The sequence below is a fragment of the Homo sapiens genome, chromosome 10 (assembly GCF_000001405.40).
Source record: "Homo sapiens chromosome 10, GRCh38.p14 Primary Assembly".
In the NCBI taxonomy this organism is placed as follows: domain Eukaryota; kingdom Metazoa; phylum Chordata; class Mammalia; order Primates; family Hominidae; genus Homo; species Homo sapiens.
Genome location: NC_000010.11, coordinates 116,273,155 through 116,289,744, shown reverse-complemented (window position 1 = coordinate 116,289,744; position 16,590 = coordinate 116,273,155). Strand labels below are relative to the sequence as shown.

At 42.8% G+C, this 16,590-nt stretch overlaps 1 protein-coding gene and 1 long non-coding RNA gene across 5 annotated transcripts in view, besides 2 other annotated features; one reads left to right on the top strand and one right to left on the bottom strand.

Moving 5' to 3' along the window:
* Window positions 1-8,673: 8,673 nt before the first annotated feature.
* On the bottom strand, window positions 8,674-15,736 carry LOC107984273 (uncharacterized). Its single transcript, XR_001747598.2, has 2 exons — window positions 12,913-15,736; window positions 8,674-8,958 (listed from the first exon to the last, which is right to left on the bottom strand). It is a non-coding gene; the product is annotated as an uncharacterized LOC107984273 (long non-coding RNA).
* The window catches only part of GFRA1 (GDNF family receptor alpha 1), a 217,781-nt gene continuing 216,230 nt past the window's right edge, over window positions 15,040-16,590 (top strand). Inside the window, exons 1-2 of one of the 4 annotated variants that reach the window (NM_001382556.2) lie at window positions 15,040-15,078; window positions 16,461-16,582. The gene's annotated coding sequence lies outside the window, so the exon portion shown is untranslated. Of the gene's footprint in view, window positions 15,079-16,129; window positions 16,583-16,590 lie in introns of those variants that run through there. The other 3 variants (NM_001382557.2, NM_001145453.4, NM_005264.8) reach the window with 3 other exon arrangements.
* Window positions 15,537-16,374: an enhancer, noted in NCBI's record as "H3K4me1 hESC enhancer chr10:118032883-118033720 (GRCh37/hg19 assembly coordinates)". NCBI's record gives its function as "activates a minimal SCP1, AML or CMV promoter by ChIP-STARR-seq in primed H9 embryonic stem cells {active_cell/tissue: H9 hESC(primed)}" and the evidence as "EXISTENCE:reporter gene assay evidence [ECO:0000049][PMID:30033119]".
* Window positions 16,034-16,328: a silencer, noted in NCBI's record as "tiled region #3813; HepG2 Repressive DNase matched - State 20:ReprD". NCBI's record gives its function as "represses a minimal TATA promoter and a strong SV40 promoter by Sharpr-MPRA in HepG2 cells {active_cell/tissue: HepG2}" and the evidence as "EXISTENCE:reporter gene assay evidence [ECO:0000049][PMID:27701403]".

Genomic DNA, 16,590 nt, shown 5'->3' with positions numbered 1-16,590 from the left:
AGGGAGACAGAGAAGGAAGGAGGAAGGGAGAGAGAGGGAGAAAAAGAAGGAAGGAGGAAGGGAGAGAGGGACAGAGAGAAGGAAGGAGGAAGGGAGAGAGAGACAGAGAAATGGAACAGGTAGGGATGCAGCTGGAACCTGCAAGCTCTCCGAATGACTCTAATATAAAAATGTGAGGACATTGATACATACCACATTAGATCCCCACTGCTTTATACCTTCACAGCAATCTATACGTTTACTTTGTAACCATGCTTGTAATTCAACTGTAAATTCCATGAGGGCAGGGGCTCTGGCTGCCTTGTCCAGCATTTCATACCCAATGTTTAGTACAATACCTGGGTCAGGGTGGTGCTTTTTTTTTTTTTTTTTTTTTTTTTTTTTTGAGACAGAATCTCGCTCTTTCGCCCAGGCCAGAGTGCAGTGGCGCTATCTCGGCTCACTGCAAGCTCCACCTCCCGGGTTCACGCCATTTTCCTGCCTCAGCCTCCCGAGTAGCTGGGACTAACAGGCGCCCGCCACCGCGCCCGGCTAATTTTTTGTATTTTTTTAGTAGAGACGGGGTTTCACCGTGTTAGCCAGGATGCTCTCGATCTCCTGACCTCGTGAGCCGCCTGCCTCGGCCTCCCAAAGCGCTGGGATTACAGGCGTGAGCCACCGCGCCCGGCCAGGGTGGTGCTTTTTATATATTTTTTGAATTATTTAATTTGAACATAAATCTCATATTTTTGTTTACAAAATAAATAATTGTCTTGAATGCTTGATATGAAGACTTGAGACACTGCACACAAAAGACCTGCCACTGTGCCTGACTCATAGTAAGTGTTTAATCACTAGAAGCTTGACTATTATTAGTAGTAGGAGGAGGAATAAAATTATTTACAGTTTAGACTAGGAGTTACAGACATAGTTGCCTACAGGCTCCAAGCAGGTTATGTAATTGCATTCAGCATGCTGGTTTTATATTATCCAATATGAAGTGGTGGGAACTGTGGTGGACTAAACTTTTATTCATCATATAAAGTAGATCACCACTACTTAGCCTATCAGTACTATATGAGTACTCGGGTCCCGAGTTACCAGATCTTTTGATTTTTCAAGAGAAGCTGGAAATATGAATTTTCATCAAAAAATTTCCAGTGTGTAAATTGCCTTTAAAGAGAACTATGTAAGCTATTTAAAGGTTTTAAAAGCTCTGTGCAAACCAAACAAAACACATTTGTCCATGGGCTGAGAGTTTGTAGCCTCTCATTCATCCCAAGGCTCAGAACTTTCCAGGTTCCTGGGATAGACTCTCCTTCTACCAAAAATGGAATTGAAATGTCTAACTTGATTGAACTCATTGCACTTCTGAGTTTGAGAGACCATCTAGTTCAAACCAATCAGAACAATAGGGTGATAATGGTGTCCTTACAATTGATCTGTCAAGAAGCTCAGGGTGATGGGGGTGGGGGCCCAGGACAGATGTCTGTGGATGCTCACAGCTGCGCTGACATTGCCACCAGCCTGAAAGGTGGGACAGTAGTGGAGGATCATGTTGTATGCTCTTGTTTAATTGTGTTCCACTAGATTTCTTGGTGTGCTACTTACTGCCTTTGCAATTAGGTTATTTATCTATACCTAGGAGGACAGAATTCTTTCCAGCAGCTAGGGGGCTCTAGCAGTCCATCTTTCAGACACAAATTTGCTAGAATTTGCAAGTCTAAATATGAATGACTCTTTTCATAGTTATCTCTAAATATTACTAGATTAACATAATCTAAACATTTTAAAAATTCATATGCAAAATTACTGATATTCTTGGTCAAAAATTATTCTCTTATTTCACCTTTTTTCTCCTTTTCATTAAAAGTTCTTTTCCATATAAAATTAAGCTTCTTGATTTTATGTTCAAAGTGTTCTAAAAATCTAAATTAGAAAGTAAATTTCTACTCATGGGGGAAATTATTGACATGCCTTGTAATCATACTAAGCATTTAGGTTGGTATATATATTCCACCTCCCAGGCTCAAGGGATTCTCCTGCCTCAGCCTCCCGAGTAACTGGGATTAGAGGCACCTGCCACCACAACTGGCCTATTTTTGTATTTTTAGTAGAGACGGGGTTTCACCATGTTAGCCAGGCTGGTCTTGAACTCCTGACCTCAAATGTGCCTTGGCCTCCCAAAGTGCTAGAATTAAAGGCATAAGCCACCACGCCCAGCTAGGTTGATATAGTTTAGCCCAATATTTATCTAGCACATCTAGGGTAAAACTGTTCATTGATACTAATATGATAACTAGCAAAATAAATTCTTGCTCCATAAAAATTATATAATTTGACCACTTAAAAACCAGAACAATGTTTCAGCTTTTTGGGATGCTCAACAGAAGGTTTAAGTGGAGCATCTGAAGTTGTATCTGCTTGCCACGCCTGCTATTTTTTCTGACATTTCCACTGTCAAGACATTTAAAAGTAATAATTTCGCTTTAATTCCCAGTTTCTCTTTCTTGTGCCCTGCATTCTGCTCTAGGATATGTTTTGAAAGCACTTAGAGGAACTTAATGGACAGATTTAGCAAAATCTTCATCCTGTTTTCACAGCTCAGTCGCATACAAAGGACTGAATAAACTCTTTCCTCCTCGCGCCTTCATCTCTTAAAAGTATTGATTGTGGTCAAGGGGAGAGGCAGAGGGAGGGAGATTTCTCTTGTGTCAAAGCTACACCAAAAAAAAAAAAAATTGTGTTGTTGTTGAATTGGTTCTTTTCAGCTGCTAAATGCCCACTTCCGGTTTCTTATCAGCCACTTTGGTGTAGGATTGGAAATAACGTTACTTAAACAAGTACCCGCCCGTATTTTCAGTTTCTTGAATATCTCAAACATCACCATTTCCCAAGTATACTGACTTCAGGAAAATAGAAAAGGGATTTTATTCCAAACCCTTTTTTCCAATTTGCAAACCCAAGAGAGTTCAAGGGAAATGCAATCCACATGTTTCTGACCATTTCTACGCAAATATCTAAAGTTTTTTTTTTTTTAATGAAAGTGATTTGATGTCTACAAAGCTTTTAAAATAAATCTTGGTTATCCCGCCATTTTTCTCTAAGAAAGAAGTTTCTTTGGATAAGATTAAGTTAATATGAATCTCTTAAAATCTGACTTTGTCTTTAAATTAAAAAATCATGGCCGGGCGCAGTGGCTCACGCCTATAATCCCAGCACTTTGGGAGGCCCAGATGGAAGGATCACGAGGTCAAGAGATTGAGATCATCCTAGCCAACATGGTGAAGCCCCACATCTACTAAAACTATAAAAAATTAGCTGGGCTTGGTGGTGCGTGCCTGTAGTCCCAGCTAACTTGGGAGGCTGAGGTAGGAGGATCATTTGAACCTAGGAGGCGGAGGTTGCAGTGAGCCAAGATCGTGCCACTGCACTCCAGCCTGGAGACAGAGAGAGACTCTGTCTCAAAAATAAATAAATAAATACATAAATTAATAAAATTTAAAAAAACTCATTTCAGTAAGGGTGGGTTCTAAACTCACTTCTAAATGTATCATGTTATCTAGCCCCTCATCTATTTTTATCATTTCCTTTATTACATTCTTTCAAGTCCTTTTTATATAGTAAATCATTCATTCATTCAACAGATACAAATGCCTATCTGTCCCAGGCTGTGCTAGGTTCTGGGGATACAACAAGAACATGGTAGACATGCTCCCTGCCTTCATGGCACATTGAGTCCAGCAGAGAAGAAAGAGATTGAACAAGGGTTTGCACATCTGATGAGAGAATGCCAGGATAATAGAGAAGGCTTTCCAAAGGAAGCATCTTGCATGCAGCAATCCTCACCCAAGCAAAACGGGGACCATGTCAAAAGCGAGACCAAGGGAACAGCAGGTGCAAAGCTCTGGGGTGGAACACAAAGAAGGTCTATAGGGCTGGAGCTTAAGAAAGTGAGCACGGAGGGGTGCAGGATGAGGCTGGGGAAGACCATGCAAGACCCTGTTTGCCCATCTGCCTCTTAGAATTCATAGCACACTCAAGGCCACTAACAGGGACAAAACAGGATCTTCCTAGCCTGACACACCTCCAGACTAGCCCTCCGTGAGCATTTCACCCAAACACAGAGTCTGTACTATGTTAATGTACATCCCCAAATCACCAGCAAGGCAAAGCAGTCTCCTCCTCTGAGATTCTTTTAATTATATGGGGATATAGAGATAGATCTTTATTATATATACATATCTATGCATAGATGCATATCTTAGGTTGGTGCAAAAGTAATTAACCTCAGTTAATTGTGCACCAAGCTAAGCTAATATGTGGCTATGAATGTGCGTGCGCATCTTTTGCATTTTCTACCTTTCAGGCTGAGCCCTCCTTCCTCGCCATGGCCATTACTTTGGCTCAGGCTTCCTTTTCTTCCCTCCGCCAGATGTTGAAATGGCCTCTCAGTCTTCCTGCCTCCAGTCTCTCACCTCTCCAATCTCCAAGCTGTGTGCCTCATTTCATAATGCCACTTCCCTCTTAGAAATTCCTGAGAAGTCCTGTGTGAACCTCTGATGAATCTGCTTTGCCCGGAGTACAGAATCTGGAGTAGTTTCTGGCCCAAACCAACCTCAGTGGCCTACCTCCCACCCCTCCTCTCTCCACCTTTCCCCACCTCCCCAACCCTGTACTGCAGCCCCCCCAGCCACATGGACTTTCCTCGCTTCATCTGATGGAGGATGTCTGGTTCTATGCTGTGAAACATTGGTTGCATGAGATATTAATGGTAGTTAGGCCAACCCCCCATAGTCAAATGTGTTGGGAAAATATAATAAAGTTGAATTGTGTCACCCCTAATGTATATGTTGAAATCTTAACCCCCAGTAGCTCAGAATGTGACCTTATTCAGAAATGAGTCTTTACAGAGGTCATCAAGTTAAAATGAGGTAATTAGGGTGGGCCCAGGTCCAATGCCACTGGTGTTCTTATAAAAAGGAAAAGTGGGACACCGACACACACACACACACACACACACACACACACACACACACACACACACAGAAAAGCCCAGGTAAACATGAAGGCACAGATCAGAGCAATCATCTACAAACCAAGAACACCAAAGATTGCCAGCAATCCGCCAGGAGAGAGGCATGGAACAGATTCTCCCTTACAGCCCTCAGGAGAAACCAACCCTGCCAACACTGGCCTCCAGAACTGGAACAGTAAATTTCTGTTGTTTAAACCACCTAGTTTATGGCACTTTGCTATGGCAGCCCTGGGAAACGAATACAAAGTTCAACACCTTATTTCAGTGCAAGACTTTTCAGAGTGTGTACTAAGCTCATGTGCCCTAAATCTCCAAGACGGGACAGAGCATCCCAAGCCTACTTGACAACAACATCCCCTCCCCACTTGCATCTCACAAGGATTATTATTCTAAAGAACAGACTTTGGGAAGTACTGACCCAGGATTCTGAACTCAGCTAAGGGTTAAGGACTAGAATATGCAGGGAGGGAATGAGTAAACAGGTTCACCCTAAGTTGTGAATAAGTGACAGCCATTTAACCTTCCTGGGACATTCTCCTCCACAAAGCGAATCTATAATGGGTAGATTTTAGGCCCTGTGGAAAGGTGAGTGAAGAATTCCCAGCAAAGACAGTGTTAGCATCTGAGGCAGTAAGACGTTCCACTCTTTTATCTCTAAGTATCACCATGACTGGGCATCAGTTTTATAATTTGCAGGACCCAGTGCAAAGTGAAAATGCAGGACCCTTTGTTCATAGCTTATTAAGGATTTCAAAATGGTGACAGCAGGGCATGAAACCAAGCTCAGGGACCTTCTAAGCGTGGGATGCTGTGTGACTGCACAGATCTCACGGGTATAAAGCCAGCTACACCCTGGTCAGTCCAACATAATCCTTTACAATCGTACACCGCTGTCTGTTTATTTTATGAACTATATTAAGAATATTTCTGCATTGTGTGTCCCAAGACCACCCTGAGATTTGATGATTCTCTGGGAGGACTCACAGGAGTTGGTGTATAGTTGTATTGATGGCTATGATTTATTACAGGGAAAGGAGCAAAGCAAGCTCCGCAGAGGAAAGGGCTCATGGAGCAAGGTCCAGGGGAAACCAGGCGCACGCTTCCAAGACGAGTCGCACAGAGCGTGCTTAATTCCCCCAGCAAGGAGTTTTGACAACATGTAAAATGTTATCTACCGAGGACACTCATTAGGGATTCAGTGTCCAGGCTTTCTACTGGTGGCTGGTCACAGAGTCACCCTGTGCCTGGCATGTGCCAAAATTCTAATTGTGCTCCTCAGTGTTTACACTAACAAGAAATAGCCAGTTCAGGCACAAAACAGCTTCTCTGACACTTTCTCCTGCTTAGGCTCAGTGGATGCACTCAATCAATTCAGATTTCTTCTGTTCAACAGTTTAAGGTGATTCTTCTAGAAGGCTTGTAAAAGATGATACACAATGGCATTTCAATTATTTGGCAAAGAAACCTTTCTATCTCTGCTTCTAGAATATACTTTGGCATGAAGTGGAAGTGAGTGTTCAATGTACCTTTATTAGAAGTGCTACTTGAAGCATTCGGGTGCTGTGAGACGTGGCTCTTGCACACCAACCCAAGCCTGACCACCAGTTTCCAGAAATGAGTCTCTTTCAGGGAGCTCAGAGCTCATCCACTCTAGAGCATCATGTATGATGGTGCTGTAGCCCTTTCTCCTTCCAACAAAGAGGCTAGAAGCTCGTTCATGCTAAAGTTCTAATAACCAAAAATGCTTCTGCATTAATCGTCCCAAGGATGATTATGTTTTGGCAGGTGACACTAATTATACCAACGCTTTAAAGATAGACCCTCAGTCTGCAAGGTAGGGAGTCATTTTGGTAGGACAATCATTGGGTCAGCCCCTCAACGGACATTCACTGTGGAACCGGAACCACTCAACAGAAGTCTTAGTTAAGTCCACTGAAAGGCTGTAATTGATTTGACATACTAAATTATGTCTTAGTCTTCACTGTAATTACAGTAAGAATAACTCAGGTTAAGTCAAATATCTACCAATATTTTGGAGAGGCAGGAGGGAAAGGGTCTGTGATAACTCTCTAAATTATCCAGATTTCTATTTATATAGATCATGTTTGGTTTTGATCAAACCATACGTAAAAGGTTCCTACCTTAGACTTTCATGAAGACAGCAATTAAGAGAATTCACCAATAATTTTTCCAAAGATAAATTATTATTTATTTAACATTTATTAATCCAATGTGCTAGCTAGGGGATATGGAATATACAAACTTGGCTTTTGCTTTTCAGGATATTGAGACTCCTGGACATACAGTGTGGTACACAGAAAGGGACCCTGGACTTGGAATTTGGCTCCTTGACTAAGAAGCTGGGTGGCCTTGGGCAAGTAAGTAGACAACTCTGGGCTTCAGTTTCCTCATCTGCTCAATGAAGAAAGTAACCTGTCCTTCATCACAGAGTAGGTATAAAGATCAATAATGTAACTGGATTCATATGAAAGTGGTTGATAAACTATACGTCGTCTGTGTGTGTGTATGGGTGGGTGGGTGGGTGTGGGGGTGTGTGCATGCTTAAAGAATAAGGGAAAACTGCATTTAAGAAAACCAGCACATTTAATAAATGATGGCAATAACCCAGCCCCATTATGGGGAGCAGTTACTGTCATCGTCTGGATCACTGATGGCACAATTAACTTAATTAACACATACCTCTGTGGCAAGTCTGCTGAAATAACACTTTTCCTTTTAACATACCTGAGCCTTGCCAGCAAGGCATCTCCGAGTCATGCATCTTCCAAGGAGGGTGGCCCACGTGTCAAATGGCTTTTAGCTGGTATGCAGAAAACTGAATTCCAGAATATCCACATCATTAGCAGCTCAAATTATTTAGAGAAATATGAGAAGCCTCACCAAAGTCTTGTAGAAAAGGGCAAAGACCAGTGCATCCTCAAGCAGAGGTGTGTCTGGGCAGACGAGTATGACCCCATGAGGAAGCCATTCTCACCAAATCCAGAGTGACTTCCCACAGAGAGAGCATCCTCTTCTGCATAAGATTCTGACGAAGGAGGCTTGGGACTTTGGTCTGTCGTGGTGGTGACAGGGTTTTTGACAAGTGAGCATGAGTCCATGTCTAGGTGAAGAGCACGCCTATAGATTGCAGCTTTGCCATAGCATGGACTCCTGCTGATCACCTCGGTTGAGTACTGTTTAGGGCTGGAAAGGGGAGACCTGGGATAAAGTGATGTACCCCTTCTATTTTGGAGGCCTTCAATTTTGTTTAGCTCTCAGGAATGTTCCTCCTACTCTATTACTCTCTCTTTTCCCCTTCTCTCAATGGCATGACTCCATTTCATTTTCTACCTTTCTTCCTATCTCCTCTGACTGTTATTTTTATTTCCACTCATGTTGACAATTATTCCTACACTTCTTTACAATATGGTTTGATTATTTCAGATATGCAGCTCATCTCCCCAGTGAAATTACACTTTCCTTCAGAGTCAATATTATTCTGTATTTCCCATAGCAGCCTAGCAGAGGGCTGGTCCCTGATAGATATTCAATAAACAATTGTTTTTTGAATTTATTTTCCTTTACTTCTCTTTCATTATAATTTGGGTGCATGAGTTCTACAAAGACTGTTTGCATGTATCGAAGACCCAATATAATACTGGCTTAAATATGACAAGTTTATTTGTCTCTCACATTATAGTATGTGACACAAGGCCCTGAGCAGGCAGACAGCTGTGCTCCAGGCAGTCATCCTGGGACTCAGGCCTCTTCTATCTTGTTGCTCCGCCATCCTTGGTGTGTTGTTCTTGCATGCCTGGTCCGGCGCAGCACAAGGACGCAGGATGGTGGGAACATGTAGAGGGAGGGCACCTGCTCAGAGCTTCTTCGCATCCTTTCTGCCACATCTGATTCATCAGATCTGGCCACATGACCATAACTGGCTGCAGTGGAGGATGGGAAATGTAGCCTTAATATTGAGTGGCAAATGTTTAAATAAAAAATCAGAGTACCATTAAAAAATGCAGTAGCTTTCAAAATTTTAAAACCATGATTCATAATAATAAATATATTTTACCTAATGACTCAATACAGGCACCATGAACACATAGAAAACTTTTATAAAACAATACTTACCACTACTTTGAGTGATGCATTTAATATTTTTATTATTAATTAATTTATTTATTTGAGACAGGGTCTCTCTTTATCGCAGGCTGGAGTGCAGTGGCACCATCTTGGCTCATTGCAACCTCTACTTCCTGGGTTCAAGTGATTCTCGTGCCTCAGCCTTTTGAGTAGCTGGGATTACAGGTGCCTGCCACCATGCCCTGTTAATTTTTGTATTTTTAGTAGAGACGGGGTTTCATCATGTCGGACAGGCTGGTCTCAAACTCCTGGCCTCAAGTGATCTGCCCACCTTGACCTCCCAAAATGCTGGGATTACAGGCATGGGCCATCATGCTTGGCCAACATTTAATATTTTTATAGTTTATAAAATAAATGTTGTTTGTGACCAACAAATGGGGGATGCCTGCAATTTGAAAGGCGCTACTACAGAAGGATGAAAGAAGAAATCGAGAGAGTAACTAGGGGTCTCTACCATGGAGAAGGAAGTACTTGAGCATAGGGAAGATAATTTACCTAAATTCCTTGCAGTGCACATCACAGTATTAGACACTGGACAGATACAAGAAAACAGTCAACCAAAGCAATCAGTCCATAAATCAAACAATCAACGAAATATTACCCAGCAGAGGTGGAGTCTTTACTGATAGTTCAGACCAAAAAAAAAAAAAAAAAAAATGAAGGCCAGAGGGGCCTTTACAAAGAGATCCTCTAGGGATGTGAGCAGAAGAAATTCTCCTTGTCTCTTAATGTGAGTTGTGTGTAGAAAAAATACGCACAAAAACATCCATCCCATTGATCCTTCTGTACTTTAAGCTGAACAGATAATTCAGATCAAAACCAAATTGATCTAATTTTAATTCTTTGTCATGGCCTCAAATTTACGAACTGCGTCAAGCGCAACCTCATGTATGTATTGTGATAGTGTGTCTCCTAGACTTTCCTAATTTGCTTTTGTGCTAGAAAAATCTATAAAACAGATTTGTCATTCCTTCTATAGACTTCAAATTTGAGGAAAATCTCATATGGTGTGATGTTTTTCCTTGACAGTTTCAACTGACTTTTGTCAGATTTTTGACAGCAGAAAATAAAACCAACAACTCTAAGAACATTATACTGCATTTGTTTTCAGAGGAATAGTTTTGGAGTTTGGAGGAGTTTGAAATGACTTCTAAATGATGTCACAATTGATGCTTTAAAACAGGCCCCAATCTTTTGTGCTACAAGCACCACTGGCTTAATTAGTTCTGGCGGGGGCATCGTCATTAACTGCAAGTTAATTGTGTTAGCGGGCTCATACTATAGTGCTTCCAGAGGTTTTGGTTTCGGTAAACAGTGCATTTCCATGGCATTTCTTGAAAGATGCCGGGGTAAGTGGCATGACAAGAACAGTGCTGTGTTACAGAGCCTTCATTGTTGCAGAGGGGCCTAGGGGTCACTTATCCCCACGTCTTTGGTGATCTCTGCTTCTTCTCTTGCTTTATCAGCGGTGGGAGAGGCCCCATCCCACCACTTAGACCAAACGTGCATCAATGGAAATCAGAGGTTGTTGCTGTCTTGGAGGCTGCTAAAAGGCTTCTGAAGAAGTGAGTCAGTGTTTTCAGTCTTGTTTTCATTCCACGTCCCAAAGCTCATCCGGATTGGCATCTGTGTTTGCTGCCTCCAGAGAGAGAGAGGCTAATTACTGGACAAAGCTGGGGATTAAGCTTCCCTCTTGCCCTTATGAAGGAACAATCCCATTGGAACAGGGTTTAGGGCTTATTAGGAGAGTGGTGGAGAGAAAAGATGTTTTCTCCGTGCAGGCGTTCCCCATCCTTCCTGGATGAAGAAGACTGAAATGTACAGGGCTTTTAATCCAACACCTTTGGCAATCACGAGAAAACCCTTGCAAGTCCCCCGAAGATGGGGTATCTTTTGCCATATATTCAGGCAATAAGACATGACAGGCACTTTATTTCATCAGGGCTACACACCTTGAATGCATTTTGTGGCATAAGGCCAAAGTACAAATGACTTCAACTCTCACAAAATGCAATATCCTTCCACAAAGGCAGTAAAATCATTTCACTGGCTTATTAGTATAAGAAATAAAAATTACTTGAAAACTAAGGAGGAAGAAAGATTTCCTAAGATAGGTTCCTGGGGGTCAGGCACCCAGATTGCCAATAAGAATCTTCCATTTGCAAATAATGTTCAAAAGACACTTCTTAATATAGTCAGCCTGGAAAAGGGCTCTGAAATCTGAGAGCAACTGGTTCTTCTTGTATTGCCAAAGGGCAAATGTCAAAGTACAGCATTAGAAGGTGAGATCTGTGTCAGCATATAGACCCTTACACCAACTTTCTGGGTGTAGACGATTCCTATTTTCTCATTTCTCCTAAAAGATTGCAAGAGGACTTGTGTGTTTATAAAAGAATTTTTAACACTTTGGGACCAATTTGCCTTTTAAAAATTTGCCTTTGTGAATGAATGCTCCAGGGTAGTCATAATCTAGCCCTTCTAAATCCCTGCCTCCCAGCCAGAAAGAGGCACATTTCTAGATGATTAGAGAACTTCAGGTGGGAACGTTACTCTGCTTCTGGCTTTATGCCTTAAAATATGACCTAAGGCAAGCTATCATTTCCCAGAAATGAAATATGTCATATGTTACTATTAAAGTGAACCAGAAAAAGAGCACTCTATTACAATAATGGGTTTTGTTTAAAAAAATTCAAATGTCAAATCCCCAAAGGAATAATACATATTTGATACTATTATTAGAACAGCAATACCAGTAATTGTATGAGGTACTTATATTTTGCATTGTTCATCCAGTAAAGGGATTTTATGTAAACCTTTCAGTAAAATTATTGTGTCAGAGGAAAATGAGGAACAGCATCACTCATTATTCATGCAATCAATATACATTTATTGGGGGTGACTGTGTGTTGGTTATCAGTCTAAATGCTGGGGATGAAAAAAAAGACTAGGACAGCTTCCTGCCTTCAAGGAGCACACATTCCAGATGAGGAGACAGATATAGCAACTAACTACAATGCAATGTTACAATAGACATGGCGGAGGCTTCAGTGAGGCCGTGGAGTATACTACAGGGAACTATGAATTCTGACCAAAGAGGTCCATATTATCGTAGTGTCCTGTTTGAGCTGAGCCGAACCTTGAAATATCAGGATGAAGCACGCATTAGGCAGATGGAAATGAATGGGCAAAGGTATAGCAGTCAAAAATGTCATGGCACACTTAGAGACTGGTGAATAGTTTTTTTTTTTTGTAACTACCGCGGTAAATCTGTCAAGCTGTCTGATGTCAAATGTTGAACTTTCATGGACTAGAATGAGTTAAAAAAATCTGAATGCTTTTTAAGCAGTAGAATTTTACAAAATGGAGGGCCAAGGAAGGCAATGAGAGAAACAGACAAAATGCTGCATGGAATAAAACTGTCATTCTCATCCTGACTCATCTGTTAACTTATGAAAATACACTTACATCAAGAAATGCCAGAAAATTGCTCACTTCACGTGCTTATGGGTAGATTGAACCTAATTTTGTGGCATTAAAACCAATTTTCTGCTGAGCAACATGTCACAGAGGATTACATGAACCTTTATAATTATCAATAATATTTGATACTTTGATGTCACCTTTCATCCTGAGATCAGTCCCATACACATAGGAACAGATAAGCTCCAAGGAAACAGAGATGATATTAATACATTAAGTCACAATGCTTTTCTGTCTTCGATATTCCAAGGGCAGTGTGTTTCTCTCACCTTTAGAAGTTAGTGGATGTAGGCCGGGCGTGGTGGTTCACGCCTGTAATCCCAGCACTTTGGGAGGCTGAGGTGGGTGGATCACAAGGTTAGGAGTTTGAGACCAGCCTGGCCAACATACTGAAATCCCATCTCTACTAAAAATACAAAAAAATTAGTTGGTTGTGGTGGTGGGTGCCTGTAATCCCAGCTACTTAGGAGGTTGAGACAGGAGAATTGCTTGAACCCAGGAGGCAGAGGTTGCAGTGAGCTGAGATCATGCCACTGCACTCCAGCCCAGGCGACAGCTCGAGACTCTGTCTCAAAAAAAAGAAGAAAAAAAGAAAAAAAAAAGTTAATGGATGTAGTTGTAAAGCAGTGATTTTTTTAATTATTATTTTTATTAGCTCCTACTACGGGAAGTCTTAGGCTACAGTATGGGCCACATCTTTCTGTTCACAGCTTTCCTTGGAAGATCAGCTTTTGACATATAGATTCTCCTACTCCCTGGCTTCTTTGCCTGCTGATCTCATCCTGACATACCAGAAGTGGGCTGTGTCTTCATCGATTCTTTGACTTCTACAAGAGACTAACAAGGCATCATCATCATCATCATCATCATCATCATCATTATCCTTCCAACTACAACCCCCAGTACTGCTGCTGCTTATGAAGTAAGCACTCTATGCACTATTCTACTATTCTAAAAACTTTATATATGTGTATATACCACATTAACTAATTCCACACCAACATTATAGGGTAGTGCTGTCCAGTAGAGCTTGCTGCAATGATGGAAATGATCTATATCTGTGTTGTCCAATATGGTAGCCACCAGCCACATGTAGCTATTGAGCACTTGAAATATGGTTAATGCTACTGAGGAACTGCATTTTTCTTTTATTTAATTTTAATTAATTTCATTGACATAGCCACATGGCTAGTGACTATTGTATTGGACAACACAGTTACAGCCTCTGGGGGTTTATTGTTACCTTTTTAAAAACAAAGCTCTGTATTCATCAGCAGCACAAACTTAATAAGGACAAGTGTGAGTGAATGGTTCAGAAATACATTATTGAAGCTAAAAATACAGATGATCCTTGACTTCCAATGAGGCTTATGCTCTGATAAACTCATCAAAAGTTGAGAACATCATAGGTTGAAAATGCATTTAATACACTTAAACTACCAAGCATCACAGCCTAGCCTAGCCTACCTTAAACATGCTCAAAACACTTACATTAGCCGGCAGTTGGGGAAAATTATCTAACACAAAGCTATTTTATAGTAAAGTGTTGACTATCTCATGAAACTTATTCAATACTAACCTGACAGTGAAAAATAGAATGATTGTATGGTCCATAGTCAAAATACAGTTTCTACTGAATGTATATGGCTTTTGCACCATGGTAAAGTCTAAAAATATAAGTAGAAGCATCATAAGTTGGAGATCATCTGTATTTTAAAAAGAAGTCCCATATTCTACACTGGGAGAGCTTTTAGTTCACCCTTCCCCCACCCTGTTAAAATTTGATTCAAAAGAATTCCGTGGAATATATAGGGTAACATGAAGTCATTTCTAAACAAAGAACATTTACAAAAGATGTGGATGATGTCTTAAACCTCATTGTAATCCAACTATCCCAAGTAATCAGCACCGGTAAGCACTAGTCCCTCTATTGAAAATTGAAATTCCAATTACTGATTTTCCAAAAGAAGACATTCTCCTCCACTTACGAAATGGAACAATGAAAGAGGATTTTCTGTTTGGGGTGACCGGGGAGAAACGGAGTCTTCACACAAAGTCTTAGTTCATATTCAGCCCTCCTTTCCTTGAAACCACATCCCCAGGATTTATCTGGCTTGTTTGTGAAAATATGGGAAAACATTTTAAGTCGAAGAAACTGATCAGATGACTTAATTACATTTCTGCTTAGTTCAGCCTGTAACTTAGACTGTTAGAGAGAGAGAACTTAAGTAGCCCTTGGTTTGAACCATCTGTCGCGAAAATGTGACATATGTTTGCTTTGTTTACTCAACAACCAAGTGTAAACTGATACACTGAACTAGAGTATCCCTGAATGATGTGGCTATGGGTGTGTGTGTGTTGGAGGAGGGGTGTCTGATGAGGGCGTCCGTCTCCTCATACTTACCCTGGAGGAACACGCGTACAGCACAAGAGAAGTGCGGATCCGTAGGATGTCCCCCGGGTTTGGGGCGCGCCCCGAGGCGCAGACCCTCTTTGGCGACTCCACACAATATGCAGCCCGCCTGCAAGCAGCCGCTGCAGCCGAGGGGCGCGCCTGGCTGATGTGTGGTTGAATGGAGAGCGGCCCAACCCTCCTCCTTCCTCCTCTTCTTCTCCCCGCCCTGACACCCGGGCCTCAAACTTCAACCAAAGCCCGTGCCCTTTTCAATTTACCCCCCTCGATCAAAATGAGCCATTCTTGTCTGTCCTCCGCGGCGGCCCATTGTCTGGCGTGATAGGTTTGCAGATTTGACAGCTGGGCGCACGCAGATTTGATTCAAACTCGGTCTCCCCGAGAGATGAACTTGGACATCAGCAAAGATCCCGAGCACTGCCGGCTGGCTCCTAGACCGGTCTCCCGACCCAGTGTAGACTTCGGTGCCCCGGGCGCCCCCCGGCGTGCGGGAAGGGGAGCGTGTGTCAGGCGTGGGGGGCGGGGGGTGAGCAGCACGACTGGGAACCAGCGGTCCCAGGGGTTGGGGCGAAGGGCTGTGTACATGTTAGGCTTTTTTTGTTGTTGTTAATTTACTCTCGAAACAGCCAAAATGGAGGTCAGCTTATAAATTTTCTAAAGCCAGGTCTGGCCGGGTTTAAATGCAGTGGGCTGGGGGCTCCGCTTTTGTCTCCTTGTCGGAGCTCCAGGAGAGAGGTAGAGACTGCGTGTGCATGTGTGCGTGTGAGTGTGAGTGTGCACGCGCTGGCGTGGACGAACGGATGGGCGCATCCCAGGATCGCCGCTCCAGCGTCCTGGGTCTGAGTGTGTCTTGAAAGCACCAAGTCTTGAATCACAGCCACTAGTGACGTGGGGGAAAACTTTGTGTTCCGAAGAAGGGTCTGGCTCGATTGCCCTAAGAAGAAAGAGCCCTTGTGCCCGTGTATGTGTGTGTGTGTGTCTGTGTGTGTGTGTGAGAGAGAGAGAGAGAGAGAGAGACAGAGAGAGAGAGAGAGAGAGAGAGTGTGTGTGTCTGGCAGCACCCGCGGCCGGCTGCAGAACACTGCGTGTCCTGTGCGCGAGTACGGGTCCGGCCGCGGGTCCCACCGCAAGCGGGCGTGTGCAGCTGCGGCTGCCTGGCGGGCGAGCTTAGGAGGGAGCTGGAGCTGCGGAGCGGCGGGAACAGGAGCAGGCCGAGGGTCCTCTGGCCAGAAGAAATCTGGCCTCGGAACACGCCATTCTCCGCGCCGCTTCCAATAACCACTAACATCCCTAACGAGCATCCGAGCCGAGGGCTCTGCTCGGAAATCGTCCTGGCCCAACTCGGCCCTTCGAGCTCTCGAAGATTACCGCATCTATTTTTTTTTCTTTTTTTTCTTTTCCTAGCGCAGATAAAGTGAGCCCGGAAAGGGAAGGAGGGGGCGGGGACACCATTGCCCTGAAAGAATAAATAAGTAAATAAACAAACTGGCTCCTCGCCGCAGCTGGACGCGGTCGGTTGAGTCCAGGTTGGTGG